The sequence below is a fragment of the Homo sapiens genome, chromosome 14 (genome assembly GCF_000001405.40).
Source record: "Homo sapiens chromosome 14, GRCh38.p14 Primary Assembly".
Taxonomy (NCBI): domain Eukaryota; kingdom Metazoa; phylum Chordata; class Mammalia; order Primates; family Hominidae; genus Homo; species Homo sapiens.
This window is the reverse complement of record NC_000014.9, coordinates 40,639,735-40,658,346: the sequence shown is the minus strand read 5'-3', so window position 1 is coordinate 40,658,346 and position 18,612 is coordinate 40,639,735.

Sequence of the window (18,612 nt, the reverse complement as noted above, 5' to 3'; positions counted from 1 at the left end):
CTGTAATCCTAGCACCTTGGGAAGCCAAGGAAGGCCCATCACCTAAGGTCAGGAGTTTGAGACCAGCCTGACCAACACGGTGAAACCCCATCTCTACTAAAAACAAAAATTAGTCGGGTGTGGTGGCGGGCACCTGTATTCCCAGTTACTCGGGAGGCTGAGGCAGGAGAATCCCTTGAACCCGGGAGATGGAGGTTGCAGTGAGCCGAGATCACTCCAGTGCACTCCAGCCTGGGTGACAGAGTGAGACTCTGTCTCAGAAAAAAAAAAAAAGACAATAGAGAGTAGAATGATAGCTACCAGAAGCTGGGAAGGATGCTGGAGGAAGGGAATAAAGAAGTTAATTAATCAGTACAAATATACAGATAGATAGAAGAAATAAGTTCTAATGTTCATTAGCATGGTACAGTGACTATAGTTAATAATATATTTGATATTTCAAAATAGCTAGAAGATATGAAATGCTCCCAATTCAAAGAAATGATAAATTTTTGAGGTGATGGCTAACTACCCTGATTTAGTGATTACATATTGTGAGCATGTGTCACAATATACCATGTAATCCATAAATATGTACAATTATTATCTATCAATAAACATAATTTTTAATTAAAAATACAGCATATAATAACTATAACATTAAAAAATGGTGTTAATTAACTGTTTATGTTATCAGTAAGGCTTCCGGTCAACAGCAGGCTCTTAATAGTTATATTTTAGGGGAGTAAATTTTATACACAAATTTTCAGCTGCGTGGGGATTGGCACTCCTAATTCTTGCATTGTTCAAGAGTCAACTACATTTCATTTGGGCATGTAATTCCAATGCCAGTTATGAGTGGGCTGTAGAAAACAGGTGATTTACCAAGTATAGGCTGCCATGTAGGCTGCTGTGCCACTTGTCCATGTTACCCAGATTTAAAGTTAACAAAGTTAGGAATGATGCTTGAAATGTTTGGTAGGTCTCATGGGTGAATAACAATATATACCTTTATAATTTAGAGGCAAAGCTATGCCATACTCTGCAGATTATTATTCACATGTTCAGAAACAACTCTGTGCTTGCTTTTGGGCCCTGGAAAATGTTAAACATTTGATCAAATTGGTGATTTTTTCACCAATTTATCATGAAATTTGAGTTGTTCATCATCAACCGGGTATTGTCTGACGTATGAAACCATAAAGTTGGGTGTGCATAGCAGCACCAGATATTCAAATTGAGGTAGTGTAAACAAATAAGACTCAAGCAATTACTGAAAGAACAAGTAAGTTGCATGATAAATTGCTCATGTCTCCAAGACTTCTAATACCAGTATATTGCCGTCCTTTTCGCAATAGATATTTATGGTCTGTAGAGAGTTTCTTACAGGTTTTTCCCCCTTTTCTAGGGGACAGAAATTTGTCCTGGTTTATAATAATTCCACATAATATTCTAGTGCCAACCAGTAGTAGGCATCTGCAGTATTAGCACCCCACTCAAGGATATCTCTTAATCAAAGTTTTTAGGGAAAATCCTCATATCACCCAGACAACCTTGTTAATTTAACCTGGAAGGAGAAATGACCAGAATTTCAGATCTACATTGACCTTCAGGCAGAGGCTAACAGTTTGGACTGAGCATTAGGAGCTTGGAGAAAACATAATTAGAAAGCTCTTGACAAAAATGACAGGTAAGAGGTATGTAGACAGACATTCCTAATAAAAGTGTCTGCATCTCCTGCCAATGTTTCAAAACAAACAGCAGAAGCAGAAGAGAACCTTAATAATCAAGTGGACAAGATAAATGGCTTGTTGAATGTGAGTCAGCCTCTCACTAAGCCATCCACCTTGCCTGATAGCTCATGAATAATGTGGTCACTGGAGCAGGCATGAAGGTTATGAATGGGCTCAATACCATGGACTTCTATTTACCACACATTATCTGGTTACAGCCACTACTGAGTGCCAAGCCTGCCAACAGCTGAGATTAAAACTTATCACCCAGTGTGCCCCCATTCCTGAGAAGAATATGTCATTATATATGTTTGTTACTTCTTTTATATATGTTTCATTATATATGTTTTCATTATATATGTTTGCTTTCATTATATATGTATGCTTTCATTATATATGTATGCTTTCATTATATATGTATGCTTTCATTATATATGTATGCTTTCATTATATATGTTTGTTACTTTTCTTTTTTTTTCTCATGAAAAGGACCTCTGGAGGAAGTCATGTTGTCTCATATGGCTATCCTAATTAATGAATGACAACAGAAAACATTACCTGGCTGTCTGACCTAATCTGAAAAACATTTTTTCACAAAATATGTGCAAATAACTCTAAAAGGTGCCAGAGCAGCTATCCAAGTTTTCAATTTGCTGCCTAATATGCATTATAATTTTACTTTAGCTTATTATTGGCAGTACCATGGAGTACTAGAGTTTATGACACCACCCTTAGCAGCCCAACAACGCTTTCTCAGCTTCTTTATACTTGATCATAAAGAAGCAAAACATATTATAACTAATTAAATGTCTAAAAATCTAATTCAATCCCATTAGCAATATCAACAGCATTAATGCATTCTACAGTCTAAATTCAAAAATAATTGTCCATTACATATTAGTTTATGTTGATGGTAATTTTATGGTGATAACAAACCTAATGAATTTTTAAAAAATATAATGAAGTATAGTATATATAATATAATGAATTTTTTAAAATATAATGAAGTATAGTAAAATAGAACAATGTAGTCCTTGAAATCTTCAAGCCAATTACTTTTTATCCTGTGACCTGTACAACCTCATACACATTGCTTAAATTTTTAAACCATTATATACTCAATTTTAAATGGGAATGACACATTTTGGCATACGATTGTGATAAGGAATGTACAAAATTACTTAGAATTTATCCTAAATAAATTGATTTTTTTAAAGTCAATCTGCAAAGTGTTCATGTTAAGACGTTATTTCAAAAGTTTACTATTACTCTTACTGCTAACATGGCTTGAGTGTTTTCTTACTAAGTTTATGTCTGTTATTTGCCATGGATTTTTAGGAGAAATTCCAATTTGTCTTAATAGTTACATGGTAAAGTTTTAAACTCTTTACTTAATTCATTCTTTAAAATCCTTCTATCTTTACTTTCAAAAATAAACATCTAATTATAGAATAACTTTTACATTTACAAAAAATTTACAAAGATATAATATGGAGAATTCTCTTCTAACCATATCCTGTTTTGCCTATTGTTAATAACTTACATTGTTAGTATACTGCATGTACCACTCTAGTAAACTGATATTAATACAAAATTATTAACCAAACTCCATAGTTTATTCAGATTTTCTAATTTTTACTTAATATCATTTTTTCTGTTCTGGGATCCATACAGGATACCACATTACATGTCGTCATTAGGTCTCCTTAGGCTCCTCTTGGCAGTCACAGTTTTGAAGACTTTCCTTGTTTTGATGACTTTGATCATTTTGAGGAGTACCGGTCAGGTATGTTTAGACCATCCTTCATTACAAGTCTGTCTGATGTTTACCTCATGATTAGACTGAGGTGTGGGTTCTGATGACGTTAACCTTGATCACCTGGCCTAGGTAGTGTTTGTCTGGTTACTCCAGTATCAAGTGACCCTTTTCCTCCATTCCATACTCATTAGAAACCATCATCTGGACACTATATGTGCTTACTGTTTCTCTCTTCCTATATGTGATACGTATATCTGAATTAATATTAAATTACAATGAACTCATACTGAAGTATCCAACCCAAATTGGTGCCACATGGTTCATTTAACTTTCCAACATGGTTTACCTATGCCCTCTCATGTCATGAGTCTGAAAGCTGGCTCCTACCATTCTCCATCCATTTACCTATTTGCTCAGCCTCAGCATACATGTATCATGTTAACACACACCTCGATGGGAAACAATTTTACCATCTAGAGTTCGGTGCTACATATAGTTCCTTTTGTCCTTAGAGTTTTGATATGGTTTGGCTGTGTCCGCACTCAAATTTCATCTTGAATTTTAATAATCACCAAGTGTAGTGGAAGGGACCCAGTGGGAGTCAATTTAATTATGGGGGCAGTTAACTCATGATAGTGAGTTCTCACGAGACCCAATGGATTTACAAGGACTTCTCTCTCTTTTGCTTGGCACTTTTCCTTGCTGCTGCCATGTGAAGAAGGATGTGTTTGCTTCCCCTTCTGCCATGATTGTAAGTTTACTGGGGCCTCCTCAGCCATGGTGAACTATAAGTGAATTAAACCTCTGTCCTTTATAAATTACTGGGTCTCGGGTATGTCTTTATTAGCAGAGTGAGAACGAATTAATACAAGTTTCCATTTATTTTCAAAATTACTTAGGTAAAAAACATTTTCCACAAACTCTAGTAAGTTAGATTATGTCATACATTTGTAATACATTTAAATTTGTCTTTAGCTCCTTAATTTCATCCTGAGGTTATTCAATACCCTAGTTGATTTTGTTCATATACATTAAGGTTTATTATTTGTACCATAAGTTTCTATGAGTTTTAACAGGATAGTGTCATGTATCTACCACTACGATATTGTATGAAATAATTTCCCCACACTAAAAATTTCCCATATGCTTCATCTATTTAACATCCTTCCCTCACTAAGCACATACCAATAGCTGGTCTGCTTTCTATATCTATAGGGTTTTGTTTGTTTGTTTGTTTTTCCCAGAATGTCAGGTAAGTAGGCTCATAGAGTTATGCATCTGTTTCAGACTGGCTTGTTTCACTTAGCAGCTGGCTTGTTTCGCTTAGCCATATGCAATTAAGATTTATCTATGTTGATCTGTAGAATGATAGTTCATTAATTTTTATCTCTAAATGGTAATTCCATTGTAGAGAAATGCCATCATTTGTATATCCATTCACTATTGAAAGGCATCCTGGCTAGTTTGATTTTTGACAATGAAGAATAAAACTGGGCTGGGCATGGTGGCCCAATCCTGTAATCCCAGCAATTTGTAAGGCCAAAGCATCAGGATTACTTGAGCTAAGAAGTTTGAGACCAGACTGGACAACATAGACCTCATCACTATATATTTTTAAAAAATAAAGTATATTAGACAGATATGGTCATGTGCATCTGTAGTTTTCGCTAGAGGCTGAGGTGGGAGGATCACTTGAGCCCAGGGGCTCAATATTGCAATGAGTTATGATTGTGTCACTGCACTCCAGCCTGGGTAACAAAGTAAGATCCTGTATCAAAAAATCATAATAATAAAATGGCTATGAACTTATACATGAGGGTTTTCATATGAGTTGGTTAAATTCCCAGGTATGCAATTGATGTGCTATGTGGTAAGATTATACTTAGCTTTGTGACAAACTGCCAAGTTGTCTGTCAATGTGACTGTGCTTTTTTTCACTTCCACAAGCAATACATTACAGTGTCTTATACCCCTCCTCTTAAAATTAGTATTTTGAATTATTTAAAAATTATTTTAGCCATTCTAACAGATGTATGGTGATATCTAATTATTAAATCTTTGCTTCCCTAGTGACAAATACAGTTGAACATCTTTTCAAATGCTTCCTTGCTATCTGCATAACTTCACTGATGAGTTGTCTGTTTAGATATTTTGCCCCATTTTTAATTTGGGCTTTTGTTGCTTATTGGTGATATTTCAAAGGTTTTTGTATATTCTTGATACAAATTCTTTATTAGATGTGCATTTTACAAGCATTTCTCCCAGTTTATGATATGCTCTCTATTGTCTTAAAAGTTTCTCTTAAAGAGAAAAAAAAGAAAGAAGGGTAAGAAGGAAGGAAGGAAGGAAGGAAGGAAAAAAGAAGGAAGGAAAAAAGAAGGAAGGAAGAAAAAAAGGAAGGAAAAAAGGAAGGAAGGAAAAAGAAAGGAAGGAAGAAAGGAAAAAGGAAGGAGGAAGGAAGGAAGGGAAGGAAGGAAGGAAAGAGAGAAAGATAAAAGAAAGAAAAAGAAAGAAAGAAAGAAAAAGAAAGAGAAGAAAAAGACAAAAACAAAGAAAATAATAAAATAAAATGTATCCAAATTTTCTTTCAAGTCTGGGTTGTCACTGTATATAAAAATGTATCCCCAAACATATATTTAAACAGATTTTCTCAATATTTTATACTGGAAGTTTTAGTTTTACATTTTATCTTGTATCTTTGATCCTTTTAGTTAACTTTTGTGTGAGTTGTATAGTCTAAGTTCTTTTTTCTTCTTTTGCATATGGACATCAAATTGTTTCAGAACAATTTACAAATGACTACCTTTTCTCAATTGAATTGCTCTTGTAAAAAATAAGTTGACTATATTTATATCCATCTATTCTGGACTTTCTATAATATTGATCGCTGTGTCTACTATTTAGCCAAAATAATACTATATTGATTACAGTAGCTTTATAGTATGATTTGGAGTCAGGTAATGTGGGTCTTCTAGCCATTACTACTTTAAATGTTGTTTTGTTCTACTCTTGTTCTTCTTCTGTTATTTCAATTAAAAGCATATTACCCCTTTTGATATTTTTATTCCTATTTCATTTTGTATTTCTGCTGGTGAATTTTCTATTGACTTTTCTTCAAATTCCTTAATTCTTGCCTTACTTGATGGGCTCAGGAAGTCATTCTTCATTTCTGTTACTGTGTTATTGATTTCTAGCATTTCATTTTGATTCTTTCATAGGATTTTCATATCTCTGATGACTTTCATTGCTCATCAGTTCTTGCATGTTTTCTACTTCCTACATTAGATCCTATAACACGTTAATAAGTCTTATTCTTATTTTAAATGCCTGTGCCAGTAATTCCAACATATATGGCATAACTGCATTTTGCATTCTGTTCTGTCTGTTTTCCTTGTCTCTTCAGTTTTTTGTTTTTGTTTTTTGGGGTTTTTTTTGCTTGTGGTATGAGGTAATTTTGTTTGTTGTTGTTGCTGTTGTTGAAAGCAGGTCATGTTATGTTGCATGAGCTAATAGATATTAAAGTAACTGGCTTTTAGTATGAGGATTTATGATAATCTGAGTTTGCGCTATGTTAAACTTTTGTCGTACCTGCAGATACCAGAGGCTTCAAATTTGTCTACAGTTCCTGTTTTTGCCTCACTTCTCGGCACTTAGAATTCCCTTTTTATTGCCACTCAAGAGAGTCTGTGTATTGCAGTTCTTTCAATGTAATCTCTTGTTGTTATACTGGACACTTACGGAGTAGGGATAGAATATGTGGGAGGGGAGCAGTCTATAATCTTTGGATCATGCCTAAGTCTTTAACAGGGCCTGTGTCTCAGGTGTTTGTCTCCACAAGTTTCTGTCTCTTCTTCAAGGATGTAGCTCCCACAGCCATATTCTCTAGTTCCTTCTCAGGTGCAGCTCTCCTCATTTAATTTCTTGAATTTCTGTCCCTCGGTTGCTATGATATGGCCCCCACCATTCGCTGACTTACAGAAGACATGAAGATTGAAACTGCCTGGAGTTGGGCAGAAATCATTTTTCTAGTTGCAATGAAGGTTCAGAATTGCCCTCTGAGAATTCATTACTCCTAGAAACTGAACCTTTGTTTGGGAGAAGAGGCTGAGATTTTCATGGTGGCTACTGTACACCTCCTCCTTTCAGGACTAGACAGATATTTTTCCCAGATCCTCACCAGAAGAACTGTTTTTGTTCCAAGAGAGAAAGCTATGAAAATATTGGGGTTTCCACATGACTATAACCCCCAGGAGTTTCTCAGCACTTAGACTCCAGCAATTTGTCAAAATTACCATTGAAAGATTCATACCAGTTTGTGGTGTTTAGTGGATTTTGCTCTAGATAAGCAAATCTCCAATACTGTATCTTTCAGAGTGCACCCATCTCTCCAGATATTAGGGGTGTAGTTTGCTATACAACCACAGTTTACTCAAGGATCCAAGAAAAGTGCACAACTCACTTCTCTAAACTTATCTCCATAGCTGTAAAATGAGGGGTTAGATTAAACCACCTCTAAGGTTCCATTCCACCTCTAAAAACCCATTTTAGCCAGTAGCAGACTAATTCTCCATCCCCAGTGACATTTCCTAAACCTCACTCACCATAATTCCTCTTGAAGAGCTGACTGTCTTCAAAATCCACCCCCCATATCTTCCTATTCCACAAGACCCCTCCAAAACCAGTTCAGAAAAATCAGTAAATCAGAAAATCAACAGTATGAACAAGCATGCCACAGAATCACAGAACAGTGACATTACAGTGATAAATTACAGTCCAGAGTTACAAGAGATTTCAATATATTTTTGAAAAATTTCTGGTCAATTTATTTACCCTTCACAGCACAAAAAAACTCAAACTCACTCAAACAGGGGCACTAAAATTTACTGAAAACCTACTCTGTACCAGGCATTTTATTAGGGGTTATGGGAATAGTCTCATTTTAATCTACATATTAACTAGAGAATATGATTGATAGCCAAAATGAACATTTCCAAAACCATGTACCCACAGTCAACAATTTCAACTCTGAACTTCAAATGCAACAATTTCAACTCCGAACTTCAATTTTATATATAAAATCAGCATGCCAGGTGTTGGCTTACACTCCTTGTGAGATGTTGCTACATCTCACTTTAAGGTGGGCGGCAATCCTGTCCCTCTTGTTTATTATCCCTTTCTTTTCTCCAGGAGCTCAAATATACGCCATGCTTTATCTCTGGCTTGTGATTTTTATGTTGTTCAGGTATTCTTATAAGGACAGGGGTGAGGACTTCCAATGCTTTTACAAGTCAGGACTCTTAGCCTACTGGTATGCTATTATTATTTGTAATTGCCTTTTAATTATTATTATTATTAAATTAATTAAATTTTATTTTCCTAATTGCTATTTTACTACCAGAAATATAATAGGTATATTCATATTCCTAAGATACACTTGTATTATAAATACACATATTTATAATAGTTTGTCAACCAGCATTTACAGTTTACCAAATAAAAGACATTAACTTTAGCATACAATCACTCCTTGTTTTTCCTGTTTTTTTCTTTTCGTTTATTTTAGTTCCCGTTTCTGTTTAATTTTCATTGTAGATAAAATGTTATTCACATAAATGTGTATTTTAATAGTTTTTGCATGCCAGTCTTTATTTTACCTATACCCTTTGCATTCTTTTTCTATATTTAGTTGGTTGACTACTTTTATTTAGCTATTGTGCTAGAAGGATTCTTTCAAATATTAATTATAAGTAATAAATGTTGTATATCACCGCATAATACATTTAAAAAATACCTTAAATTTGAATAATATTTTAATATTAAATTCTAATTTAATACGTTCTAAATTAAAATTTAATATTAAAACAAAAATTACATTCTTTATTTTTATTACATTTCTTATTTCTTAATTCTTATTTCTTAATATAGGCATTTACAACTATAAAATCTTCCTAAAATATTAATCTACTGATTTCTAGCCTACTTTATTAATTATGAGAGTTAGGCAATTAAATTAAACTTTATTTGCAGATATCAGTGTATTTTTCTTGTTAAAGTCCTGGAAATGTTTGTTTTTTTTTTTCTTCACCCTAAACTTCTACGTGTTCAACATAATTGGCCAGGTCAGGGCCTTTTTAAAATTAATTCAACCCATATTAAGTCTTTTCATTTGAAAAATTTGTAATTTTTTCTGTTTTAGGAATTGTCTTTTGTAGCTCTTGGTTATTTCTTCTCCTCTATTTTTAATTCTTCTTCCTTTCTGGAGATCCACACAGAATATAGGAAAATCATATAGAAACTTTTTTTCCTTATCCTTTATTTACTTATACTCTAGTACCACAGTGATATTTTGTAGTCTTTTATGTATTGATGTCCTGGGTAAATGTTCAACTGACCTATTTCTTGGTCTAACTGGAGACAGGAATAATAGGTAAGTGTCAAGTCTAGTCTAGTCCTGTGGTCCATCCCAACACTCAGATGTCCATGCATTCTGGCTTAAATGTGTCACGTGTATATTTCACTAGTATGAATTAAAATTATATAAAAATGCCTACATATTGAAGTGAATGTAATTTTTTAAATTATCGCAATTTCATCTTTTCCTACATATTTTCAATGTTTTATTCATTATTTTTAAATATACATTTTAGCAGATATATACTAAAAATGGTTGAAAGTATATGAAGCATTATAACCTTTCCAAACAATTAACACTTCCACTGATAATTTTTCTATGAAGAATTAATAAGAAAATTCTGGATTTTTGTCATATAAAATAGTTATTAGTTTCACTAGTACTATTATAATCTATGAAGTAGAGGGCCGGGCATACTGGCTCACACCTGTAATCACAGCACTTTGGAAAGCTGAGGTGGAAGGATTGCTTGAGGCCAGGAGTTCGAGACTAGCCTGGGTAACACAGTGATACCCTGTCTCTACAAAAAGATTGTTTTTTAAAATTCAGCCAGGCATGATGGCACTCACCTGTAGTAGCCACTTGGGAGGCTAAGGTATGGAGATGGCTTGAGCTCAGGATTTCAAGGGTACAGGGAATTATGACTGTGCCACTCCACTCCGGCCTGGGCAACAGAGCAAGACTGTCTCTATTAAAAAAAAAAAAAAAAGGAAAGATTTGGACAAAATGTAAAATGAAAAGGCATGATGAGCACCCTTAACAGACTTTCATTGTTGTATATACTTAATTGAAAATATTACCCTAGAAATACAATAATATTTCATGAATAAAAGCTTAAGATCTATACTCATTTAGAGAATTATAACTATTATTCTCAAAATAATCAAACTTTTATCTGCCTGGATATTCCTGTTTTCCAAAACAGCTGTACTGTTCTACATTCCCATAGCCAAGTATGAGGGTTCTAATGTCTCTACATCCTTGTCAACACTGCTAATATCTGTCTTTTAAAATTATAGCCACCCTAGTGGTTATGAAGTGGTATATAATTATGGTTTTGATTTGCATTTCCTTCATGATAATGATGTTGAACATTTTTTATGTGCTTATTGGACATTTGCATATCTTCTCTGGAGAAGTATCTATCAGATCATTTGCCCATTTTTAACTGGGTTAATGAGTTGAAATGTTTTTAAATTTCTTAGTACAGGCATTTACAATTATAAAATTCCTGCTAAGCACTGCTTCTACTGCATCCCTAAGTTTTGGTATGCTGTGTCCCTATTTCCATTCACCTTAAGTGGTTTTCTGATTACTTCTCATTTCTTCTTTGATTCGTTGGTTATTTAGGAGTGTCTGGTTTTACTTACACATATTTGTAATTTTCCCAAATTTTCTCCTGTTACCGATTTCTAATATCATTCCATTACTGTCAAAAAGTACTTTGTATTATTTTAATCCTTTTACATTTATTGAGGTTTGTTTTGTAGCCTTGTAAATTGTCTGTCCTAAAGAATAATTCCATGTACCGTTAAGAAGGACATATATTCAGTTGTTATCTGGTGGAATGCTCTATAGCTGTCTGTTAGGTATGATTGCTTTATAGCATTTTTAAGTTTTCCACCTCCTTGTTGACATGTGTCTAGTTGTTCTAACCATTATTGAAAGCAGAGTATTCAAGTCTTCAGGTATTAATGTTGAATTATCTATTTTTCTCTTTCTGTCAGCCTTTGCTTCATGTTTTTTGGGGCTCTGTTTTTTAGTGTTATATATGTCTTTAATTGTTACAGTTTCTTGACATATTTCCCCTTTTATCATTAGAAACCATCCCTCTTTATCAATAGTTGCATTTCTTAAAGTCTACATTGTCTGGTATTAGTATTGTTACAATTATTACTTTACTATCTCTAGTCATTTTCCTAACCCAAGGCAGCTCTGCTCCCATGTGCCCCTATTGTGTTGTTATTGATAAATATATTGCATATGTCTTGCATTTCTATATGTTATGAGCCTAACAATAAATTATACGTAAATTATATATTATTTATTTTGTTTAAAAGAATTATATATCAAACCTAATGCATACTATATATTAGCATTGTATATATAATGAATATCTGTGTATTCTAGTTATAATTTTATACAAAGCTTTTTAAATCAGTTTAAAAAAGAAAGGAGAACAATATTTATTCTTACTGACTTAGATAATTGCGTAATGATCTTTACCAGTGTGTATTTGAATTATCATCTGTGGTCACTTGCTCTTAGCCTAAAAAAAATTTCCTTTAATACTTCTTTAAGGTGAGACTTCTAGTAACACATTCTTTCGTTTTTTTTTTTATCTTGATAGGTCATTAATTTGTCTTCCTTTTTTGAAACATAGTTGTACTAGATACAGTATTCTTGTTTGACAAGGTTTTTTTGTTAAGTACTTTAAATATGCTATCCCACTGTTTTCTGACTTTCACTGTTTTTACTTAGAAATCAGCTATTAGTTTTATTGGTATTGCTTATTTCCTATAGTTCTGTAAATATGATTATAATGGCAAGTATTTTTCTGCTAAATTTGACATTTGAACACTCACAGACAATGTCTATTGCCTGCCTTTTATTCAGTGTGTGAATTTTGCTTTTCTGTTTCTTTGCTTGATTTGTATCTTCTTGTTGTAGTTGTTTGTTGGGAAATGGACACTTAAGATAATACAATGTAGTAACTCCGGCTGCTGGTTCCCCATATATTCCAGATATTTTTATTGTTATTTGCTTGCTTATTTGTTCAGTGACAGACCAAATTATTTTAGTGAAGTACATTCCCCACCTCTCCACCCAACCTGCCACACACACATACTCACACCCACACAAAGTACTGGGCCTCTGGTTGTTCCTCTGGAAGGCACAGGGTTGAATATGCCCACAGTCACCCAGGGATAACAGTGGTTTGGTAGGTCTCTCTTCCTCCCTTTTCCTCCCCATGTGCAGCTGTGAAACTCCACTAATTGCCAGCTGATTTCTCTATCCTTTTCAACAATGCCCCTGGGTATAAACTGATCGATAAACTCATCCAATCAAATTCTGGCTCCTTGGAAGGGATCGTTTCTGAAGTCATTGATGGCTGGAGGGAGAAAGGGCACCTCTACCCTTAAACTGAACTCCCCTGAGACAGTCTCAGCAACTAGTAGTCGGGACAAGATAGAAGCACTGATGTCCTTCTGTTTCCAGAAGGAAAACTCCAAATGGGGCCCGGGTACAGAGAAGTCTTCTGGAGTGGAGTCTCTGCCTTGCCAAATTGAGCAAGAGTCTCTGCCTTGCAGAATTGAGCAGGAGAGGGTGAGGAGTGGTCTTGGTTCAAATACCAATGACATTTAACTTTCCTAAGGAATTTTCATAGATTTTCTTACTAGATATTTCTTCATTTACCGTTTGTCCTTAGGACAAATTCTATAGGCTTAAAAATATTTTTAAAATGTACACCAGTTTCTCTGGAGAGAGGGTCCACAGAGTACATCACATTGTCACTCTGTCTACATTCTTTATTTTTAATCCCTGAATTAATTGGTAATCTCAAGTGGTGTGTATGAGACTCAGTATATCAAATAAGAAACTCCAGTTCAATCAAAGGATAGACTGTCATGCTATATATTAATAACTTTGGTAATAAACTAGGAAAATAATGAGATATGTAAAATATTGTTCCTGCCTATATTTTTTATTATTTTTGGAGTATGTTCTAATAAAACATGCTTGATGAGAGAAATTGACCTGCATGTTACAGAAATGTGATTTGTCAATTAGATGCTAATATCAATATCACTAACTAAAGAAAGACAACAATTTAAGACACATTACACTCACATTAGGTAATTACTTTATAACACTTTAAATTAGTTTAAAAAGAGATTGTCCCATGTCAGTATTCTCTTATTCTAATCTGTTTTACTATTTAATTTCCTAGCTTGTACCTTTTTTATTGAATGAATCAACAATATGTTGTTTCATTTCCCCAAAGTGGAAAAGAAAGTTTACACATGCAGGTGACTCACGCAGCAAGCTTATATATATGTAAGTGCCCCAAGTTCATAACATAACATATTCTTCATATATTATAGTTAATAAAACAATTTAAAACTATATATTTTCATTAATTTAACAAATATTTATTGAATTTCTCTCATGTGCTAGGCATTGTTCCTGGCACTTGAGATACATCAAAAGAACACAATTGACACCAACAGCTGCCCTCATGGAGATTTCACTCAAGGAAGTCATAACTGCCACATAAACAGTTCCCTTTGCTATTGAATTAGATAATAATTATTCTTGTGTTCAAAACTATACAATTTTATGAATTTTCTACCCATATACTTACCATTTAGCATTCACAAGAAGACATTATTTTTCCGCCTTTCAACTGATAAAAGTTATACAGTAAAATTGTAATAAGCAAGCAATGAAATATACTTTTCTCCAATATTCTTCTTTTGTTTAATCCTGAGAGTAACTGACAGATTAAAAACCCTAATAATATAAAGAAATAATTAGGATGCAACATGGGTAAACTGGAAAACAGTTTACCCATGCTAAGTGAAACAAGCCAGGCACAAAAAGAGAAATACCGCATGTGCTTTTACTTACATGTGGGAGCTAAAAAACTTTAGAATGATGGCTACCAGAGGGTTGGAAAGAGTAGTGGGGAGGGAGGGATAAAGAAAGGAAGAAGGATTAGTTAATGGGGGCAAAAATAAAATGAGAAAGCAGGAATAAGGTCTAATGTTTGATAATACAATACAGTGACTATAGTTAACAATAATTGGTTGCATATTTCAAAATAACTAAGAGTGAAATTGGAATGTTCCCAAACAAGGAAATGATCATTGCTTGAGGTGATAGATATCCCAATTACCCTGATTCATAATTACACATTCTTGTATCAAAATATATGTACTCCATACGTATGCAAAACTATTACATATCCATAAAAGTTAAAAATTTAAAAAAATCTGTGTTTATTTTCAAACGTGGTTGTGATGAATTCTTAAATTCTTCCTTAGCTTTTAATATTAAAAGTTAAATCTTACAGATATTCCTTATTTCCTAAAATGAGCACATGATAGAGAATCATCAATTGAGAATTAAGGCAAATGTAAGTTAAAAAGTGAACTTAGATGATTAGCAAAATAAAGATATAAATCTCTTGATATTTGTGATTGCCAACTATGATTAAGTATTTTTATAGATGTTTCACTTTTATTAATAATATAATACGAGGCAAATCAAACAAAATTTTGACAATGAGAGACCATTAGATGTTCATCAAAAAGAAATTACTATTTTCACATGTTTTGTATCGTTGGAAAAATGATGAAAATGTTTTAATGCTTAATTTGTTCTATGTAAAAGAAACTCAATAGGTTATTTTGATCAGTAAATGGAATGACATATAAAATTTAATTATAAAATTATATAAAAGTAAGTTGTATTTTATTAGTAATATATGTTATTATATCGATAAATGAAAATTAATGTAAATCACTTTAATTAATATTTATTGCATTTTTACTTTAACATAGAAACCTGTTTCAACAAGACTATGAGGAAAGGAAATAATCACACTGTTTTAAGGCATGACTAGCAGAACATTGGGTTGAAATACACTCACCTTGAAATGATTTCAGTACAGAATTATGTGCAATAAATAAAGGGCAACAGATAAACAGAGTTTGAGTGTCAGCTCTATCACTAAGTATCTAGGTGATTGTGGTTCAGGGTTTAACCTCTTAGGTTAAACCTTTCCCATTCTACACTATGATGATGCAGAATAGTATCAGCGAAGGTAGGGTGATAGCAGAAAAAGGGTTTGTGATTTACTGAGCCTCATGATACATTTAGTATACAGCGAAATTTGGTGAGAATGAAAGTTTGACATTTACATTTTCTACCAACCTCATGGTTTACAAATATTTTATTTTTATCAGTCATATAAAATATAACTATGCTACAGATAAGCAACAGTATTTCTTTTTCTTAAGAAGTGGGGTCAAACAAAGCAGTGTGCTTGGAAATTAAAGGGAGGGAAAAATATATAAAAGTAAAAGAAAATAAATAGACCTTAAAAATTAAAACATGGAAAAAGTCAAAATAAGTAAAAGTCTTATTAAATCTTAGTAAAACCCAACGTAATTTGAAAAATAATAGTCGGTATAGAATCTACTGACTTCCTGATTTTTTTCTGCTAAGGTATATGCTGCATTTAAAATGACAGGCAACGGGCCACTGAAATTCACTTTTCTCAGCCTAGGGACCTGGCTATCACTTGCTAATAAACTAAAGAAAAGAATCAAGACTAACACAGAAACATTAATTTCAAGCACTTTCAGAATTATATGGAATAATTGATAATCTGAAGAATAAGAAAACTAACTGCTAAACCTCTGATGTTCATAAAATTTACTTCTTATTTCAACATATTATTACTAAAATGTATGTTTAACATAGTCACTAAAATTCACTAGTGTAGTAAAAATGTTTATGTGTGTGTGGATGTGGATCATCTATATTTAATTGTTCTTATATATTTTATTCTAATATTTTAAAAAATCAGTGAATATACTTGTGAGAAACTTGAAATGCTTTAATTCAAGATTAATATATCTTTCATGTTGCTTACCAAGAAAAAGGCACATATATCAATTTCCTTTCAAGAACCATAATTGAATACATATAGTGTCTTGTCAAATCACAGAAGACAAATTCTAAAAAATAAAATAAAATCAGTTGCTTAAGAGTTGATGATTATGTAGATTCTTTCAGTGGTAACTCAGCCTGTACCTAGATGTGTATTTTTTAAGTTCCAAGTTAATCTATCCAGGCTTTAGAAAACTTTTTTTTTTTTTTTTTTTTTTTTTTTGAGACGGAGTCTCGCACTGTCGCCCAGGCTGGAGTGCAGTGGCGCAATCTCAGCTCACTGCAAGCTCCGCCTCCCGGGTTCACGCCATTCTCCTGCCTCAGCCTCCCGAGTAGCTGGGACTACAGGCGCCCGCCACCACGCCCGGCTAATTTTTTGTATTTTTAGTAGAGACAGGGTTTCACCGTGTTAGCCAGGATGGTCTCGATTTCCTGACCTCGTGATCCGCCCACCTCGGCCACCCAAAGTGCTGGGATTACAGGCGTGAGCCACCGCGTCCGGCCAGAAAACTCTTTTATTTATTTATTTTTTTAAGTGGTACAAATAATGCTGTTTTATTTAGAAAAAAAGGTGTGATTTGCCAAGAAGCTAGAACAGTCACGAACTTTTTAGTACCCAAACTACTTTTTTTTTCTGCAACACGCACTTAAATTATATTTAGTGAGATAATTTAACAGCATTACAGAAAGTTTGCTAAATCCTAAAATAGTCACCACTCATAATGCTATGTAACACAGTGCTGAGTTTTTATGTGCTTGCAATAGTTATTATATGCATAAATATATTATTTACATGAATATAGTAATAATGTACATATAATTTTACATTCTAAGTTTTTGCTTAAAATTCACATAATATTTCCATGTTCCACAATTATTATATTAGCTGCAAAAAACTCAGATGATAATGGCAAAATTTGGTGTAGCCATTTTAGGGGAATACTTAGATTGATTTAAATTATTATTCAATAGGAATTCATTTGACCACCAAACTATCTCACTAGTTTCCACTCTAACAACATAGAATATCTATCTAATGTACAACAGTTTTATACATATACTTTTATTGTGGGCCAGGTGCGGTGGCTCAAGCCTGTAATCCCAGCACTTTAGGAGGCCGACACGGGCAGATCACGAGGTCAGGAGTTCAAGACCAGCCTGGCCCAACCCCGTCTCTGCTAAAAATACAAAACTTATTGCATTTTTGTATGGTTGCCGGTGCCTGTAATCACTGCTACTCGGGAGGTTGAGGCAGGAGAATCACTTGAAACCGGAAGGTGGAGGTTGCAGTGTGCGAGATTGCGCCACTGCACTCCAGCCTGGGCAAAAGAGCGAAACTCCATCTCAAAAAAAAAAAAAAAAGCTTTTATTGCATTTAAATAGTAATCTTAGTAATCTTAACAGATAATACTCTGATCATGTTGTAATATAATTTTCTAAAATTGTTACTCCTCAATAAGCTTCCTTATTTCCAGTTGCTGAAAACTTCATCAAATATGGCACTAGTTGCTTAATCATATTCATATATATTTTTATGCAAATGATAATTTTAAATCTCAGATATTTTCTTTTTTTTTTTTAATTATACTTTAAGTTTTAGGGTACATGTGCACAACGTGCAGGTTTGTTACATATGTATACATGTGCCATGCTGGAGTGCTGCACCCATTAACTCCTCATTTAACATTAGGTATATCACCTAATGCTATCCCTCCCCCCTCCCCCCACCCCACAACAGGCCCAGGTGTGTGATGTTCCCCTTCCTGTGTCCATGTGTTCTCATTGTTCAATTCCCACCTATGAGTGAGAACATGTCGTTTGGTTTTTTTGTCCTTGCGATAGTTTGCTGAGAATGATGGTTTCCAGCTTCATCCACGTCCCTACAAAGGACATGAACTCATCATTTTTTATGGCTGCATATATTCCATGGTGTAAAGTAACTGTTACTTCTATTAAAAACTCATCTCTTAAGTAACTTAAAGAGTAGAAACAACATCTAAAAATGCTTTATTGGTAATAAAGAACAGCGCGTCTTCTAATAATGATTC